Genomic DNA, 939 nt, shown 5'->3' with positions numbered 1-939 from the left:
ACAAAGAGATATTATCACAACCATAATGGCTACAATTTTAAAAATAGAAAGTAGGGGCTGGGTGTGGTGGCTCACGCCTATAATCCCAACACTTTGGGAGGCCGAGGCAGGCGGATCACCTGAGATCAGGGGTTCACGACCAGCCTGGCCAACATGGCAAAACTCCGTCTCTACTAAAAATACAAAAAATTAGCCGGGCGTGGTGGCGCACGCGTCTGTAATCCCAGCTACCAGTAGGGGCTGAGGCAGAATTGCTTGAACCCAGGAGGCAAAGGTTGCAGTGAGCCGATATTGCACCACTGCACTCCAGCCTGGGCGACAGAGCAAGACTCATTAAAAAAAAAAAAAAAGTAGGGCTGGGCATGGTGGCCACTAGCTGTGTCTGGGCTGTCAACTGGGAATGAACACTAGGGAAATTGCTAAGGTAATGAAAATTATGGAAGTGTCTTGTATGTTGATAAGAGTATGGATTACATGAAGGTAGGCATTTGTCAAAACCGATCAAATTGTGCACTTAAGATTTGTGCAAGCAGGCCAGGCCTGGTGGCTCACGCCTGTAATCCCAGCACTTTGGTCGACCTAGGCAGGCAGATCACCTGAGGTCGGGAGTTTGAGACCAGCCTGGCCAACATGGTGGAACCCCATCTCTACTAAAAAATAAAAAAAATTGGTTGGGCGCAGTGGCTCACGCCTGTAATCCCAGCACTTTGGGAGGCCGAGGCGGGCAGATCAGGAGGTCAGAAGTTTGAGACCAGCCTGGCCAATATGGTGAAACCCCGTCTCTACTAAAAGATACAAAAATTAGCCAGGCATGGTGGCGTGCGCCTGTAGTCCCAGCTACTCAGGAGGCTGAGGCAGAAGAATTATTGGAAGCCAGGAGGTGGAGGTTGCAGTGAACCGAGATCAAGCCACTGCACTCCAGCCTGGGCAACAGAGTGA

Source organism: Homo sapiens, chromosome 6, assembly GCF_000001405.40.
Source record: "Homo sapiens chromosome 6, GRCh38.p14 Primary Assembly".
NCBI classification, from domain to species: Eukaryota; Metazoa; Chordata; class Mammalia; order Primates; family Hominidae; genus Homo; species Homo sapiens.
The sequence above is the reverse complement of the archived record's forward strand: the minus strand, read 5'-3'. Positions refer to the sequence as shown.